Source organism: Homo sapiens, chromosome 7 (genome assembly GCF_000001405.40).
Source record: "Homo sapiens chromosome 7, GRCh38.p14 Primary Assembly".
In the NCBI taxonomy this organism is placed as follows: Eukaryota; Metazoa; Chordata; class Mammalia; order Primates; family Hominidae; genus Homo; species Homo sapiens.
In genome coordinates this window covers 85760230-85764864 of record NC_000007.14, presented here as the reverse complement: position 1 = coordinate 85764864, position 4635 = coordinate 85760230, and positions in this window count along the sequence as shown.

Here is a 4635-nt window from a genome sequence, read left to right as displayed (position 1 = left end):
CCAATCACTTGTCAAATTGACTGGTAGAAATGCCTCAGGTTGTCTCCTTAATACCATGACACTAGTAATTTTTTAATTAGATATATTGTGATTAGTGAGTGATACATGAGGCAAACCAAGCCTGTCCCTGCACCTGGGTTGTAAACGTGAGTTTCGGGGTGTAATGGAAATGTTAGTTCCCATAAGGAAAACATATGGATGGGTAGTGAAAACCAGGCCCTGATCAGTGTGATTATGAATAAAGGTTATACCATAGTTGTGACTGGAATTATGATATGTCTCATGCCAGGTGTTAAGGGAGGTGTTAAGATGTTCCAGCTTCATGTGGGGTGGGGGGAGGGGGGAGGGATAGCATTAGGAGATATACCTAATGTTAAATGAAGAGTTAATGGGTGCAGCACACCAACATGGCACATGTATACATATGTAACTAACCTGCACATTGTGTACATGTACCCTGAAACTTAAAGTATAATAAAAAAGAAAGTTTTTTGACGTTTAATTAAAGTTTTATTTTCTTTTGCAAGTTTATATATGTTACTATATACACATAATGAAAGTTATTGAAGCAGTTGCCTGCTGTAGATCTTTTCTGTTTGTTTTCTTGGGCAAAACAAATACCTCATGACTCTCTGAGCCAACCTCAGAAGGAGAACCCTGTAGGGAAGTCATGAAGTAAAAGCATATCTTCTCAGCCAAGGAAGGCCACAGGAAATCCTTGACAAGCACTGTCCATAAAAAATAAGAATGCAGATGCTCCTCAACATACGATGGGGCTATGTCCCAGTAAACCCTTGTATGTCAAGGAATGTACTAAGTATTACTTTTGCACCATCATAAGGTCAAAAAATCAAAAAAAGCTCAGGGACTATGTGCGTATACATTTTAAAAGATGATTGATAGGATAAACAATGATGAGAGGCCCAGTGGAATTTTGTCATTAAACCAAAAGCATTATCTCCCTCAGAAGAGAAGTTTAAGATACTTATTATTATTAATGCTAAGTGGGAGAGGAATAGCACAATCCCCAAGTGGCACACAAGGTGTTAAAAAGAAATACTATCAACTCATCAACTCTCATCCACATAACTGAGAAGGTGCCCTGTTATTCTTCCATAATGAGTATGTTTGTGATATGATATATATATAAATAATATATATATTTAATAAATTTTTGATTGAACAAGTCAATTAATTTTTAAAGATATATAAAATATATATACATATATATCTTTCTGGACCATTTGATTCTCATTTTAAAGTGATTTTGCCTTCTCCTTTTATGATGAGCTTTGCATGTATATTATAGGAAAAGGGCTTATATAACTTAATCATTTGAGTTCTTGCAATTAACAAAACCATTTGATAAATATAGATTATTCTAACTCGAACTAAGATAAATCTTTGCAGACATTCAGGAACTTCTGGGCTTTAATATAAATGGGACTATTTAATGAGCATTAGAAAATCAAAACATTTCTCAGGCCTGCTGGATTACAGAGCATCCCAATATTAAAACCAGTTTATTTTCCAGTTGGAAAAATTAAACATAAAGTTCCGTGTTTGGATGGCTGGACTGGAAGTATGCACCTGGCCCATTAAAAATAGATTAAATTCTAATGTTTTATAGCACTATAGGGTGACTATAGTTAAAAATAATTTATTGTATATTTTTAAATAATTAGGAGGGAGAATTTTGAATGTTCCCAATACAAATAAATGAAAAATATTTGAGGTGATAGATATAATTTTACTGGTTTGATTGCTACATGTCATATACATGCATCAAAATAACGCTCTGCTCTCCATGAATATGTGCAATTATTATGTATCTAACTAAAAATAAAATTTAAAAAATCAGTTTACAAAAAGTCATGCATTTCTAATATCTGCTTTTAGACTTCTCTACTTTTATTTTTCCTGACTCTGTTTCCACTTCCTGATTACATCTTTGTTACCTATCATTCTGAGTTCTTGGCAGCTTCAACGCACATTCATAATACTATACCTCATTTTTATTCTGTAATTCAAATCTCAGTTTCATGTTCTGCATCTACCCTTTTCTAACCCTACTGTTACTGCACTCATACGCTGGGCCTCCCTCCACATTGTGTTTTCACCATCTTAATGCTCCCCATTATGGAGGGTAAAGAAGTTCAAGTTCTCCAAAGACTGTCTGGAATTATGTATTCCAATTTTCTTTATTATAAATTAGACACATGTGTTACAGATAAGCTGAAAAACAGGCTTAAGATCATAGAGTTAATTAATGGAAAGATAATTAGAAAGAATTATTTGCATTATGACTCCTGGTCCAGTGCTATTTCTACCCAGTTAGATGTATAGATTTATCACTGAAAAAAAGTTAAAATATTATTAAATTTTGGTGTTCCTTTATAAAGCTACAATTTCCAGTTTTTAATACTCCTTTGCATTATTTATGATTACTTTAGTCACTACACAAGTTTTAAGAAAAACAATACAGGGCCATAAATGTCATATTTCCTTAAACTCAGCTGGGAGTCTACATTCAGGCACTGATTTCACTATTTTCAAAATACAAACCTACAATAGCTCCTCTCCTCACTTATCTACTGACTCCTGACTTACTAATATAGAATTTTATGAGCTAAGTTCAATTTACTAGTAATTTTTAAATGAAATTGATAAATGGCAAAACGGTGTGTCTCCCTTTTCTTACTCCAAGAAATCTTAATTGAAAAATAACATCATTTAAACTTGTTGTGTTTTGCCTTTGATTTCTTCCCTCACTCTGTTTTCAAACTTTGTTTCCCTAAACTCCCAAGTCAATGTTTCCTTGAAGAGGCCTTCGATTATTTTGCAAGACTTATATCTTCTTGATAGTCTTGATCAATTTTGCCTCTTTCTTTTCAAAATGACATAGACTCACAGTGGTGTTTAAAACAATAACTAGTAGGGAGGAATTATATTTTAGTACCAAACATTATAGTTACCGGAAATGCAAAGATTATTTAAAAAGAAATAATCTCATTTTTTATAATTTTAAAGAAAAAGCTTTATGCCTAGGTTTGTAATATTGTATTATTTTCAAGATTTGAGGATAAAACCCCTCAGATAAAAGTATATATGTATAGAAAGTTTGATTTCAGTTGTAATTCTGGAATATACTTATTAGAGCCATTCAATCTAATCAGGCTAACCACAGAAATGAATTTTGCTCTTATGAAATTCTACTTACGTGCACACAATCTGATTTATTTGCTTTTAGAATTTTCTGGCAATATTTTGCCTCTGTGGCTTACATGTCTTTCATATGGCTACAGGATTTATTCCCATTTCTACCATCAACCCAATAAAGGGTTTCAACTAAGGTCGCTGTGTTCCAGTATTTCTTATTCAAGTCCACAATTTCAAGTCCAATTGCTGATTAAGAAGTAAACACTATAAGCCCCAAACAGGCCTCCAATTAAATACTGTATCAACACAACTCTTGTCCTTTTTCTCTTTGAAACTTCACAGTCATTTGGATGGATGGTATTTTTGGTTAAACATAGCAAATCGTGTAAAAACTAAGTTTGTTCAATATGATTGATATAATTTTATGTCATATTATTATATATTTCTTCATTAGGGGATTAATAATACTGTATAAGCAATACATATAGCAAGTGAAAATTACTTAGCATATACAACTTTTTCATCATGATATAGCCATTAGTTAGACAAAAATAAACCTTGCTCAGATGGTTACCTCTTTTCTGCCTCATAGTTATTAAATAAACCAGGAGTTTGACTTACATCATAGTGGTTTGTGGGAACTGCCTCTACAGAATAAATGTTTAGAAGGTGAATCCTTGAAAGGGCATTGTAAATATTTTTTAACCATGGATTTAAATACTTTATTTTTCTTCTGTTTATGTGTAATTTTTAACTTTCAAAATTATTATATCAGTTGTTAGACTTTATAAAAGTTGTGCAATTCCTTCTTCCTAAGTATTTTAGTGCAATTTTACTTTACAATGTAGAGTATAAAATTTAGTAATGAAATTATATATCTATATGTAAAAATTCCATTGTTACATGGAATTATATTATTACATATGGATACAGATGAAACAATACATGTATATTGTTACATATACTTAACAATATATGTCACCTGTCACCCAAATAATGTACATTGTACCCATAGACAATGTTGTATCCCTCACCCACCTCCCACCCTCACCACTTCTGAGGCCCCAATGTCCATTATACCACTCTGTATACCTTTGCATACACACAGATCTCTCTTATATATGAGAGTATGCTGCATGTGGTTTTCTGTTCCTGAGTTACTTCACTTAAGATAATGGCATCCAGTTCCATCAAAGTTGCTGCAAAATACAGTATTTTATTTTTCTATGGCTGAGTAGTATTCCTTGGTAAATATATATCACATTTTAGTTATCCACTCATCAGGTGATGAGCGCTTAGGTTGATTTCATATCTTTGCAACTGTGCATTGTGCTGCAATAAACATACAAATGCAGATATGTTTTTGATATAATGACTTATTTTCCTATGGATATCCATAGGAAATTCCTACAGTAGTAGGAAATCCCAATAGTGGGATTGCTGGATCGATGGGTAGATCTACTTTCAGTTTTTTGA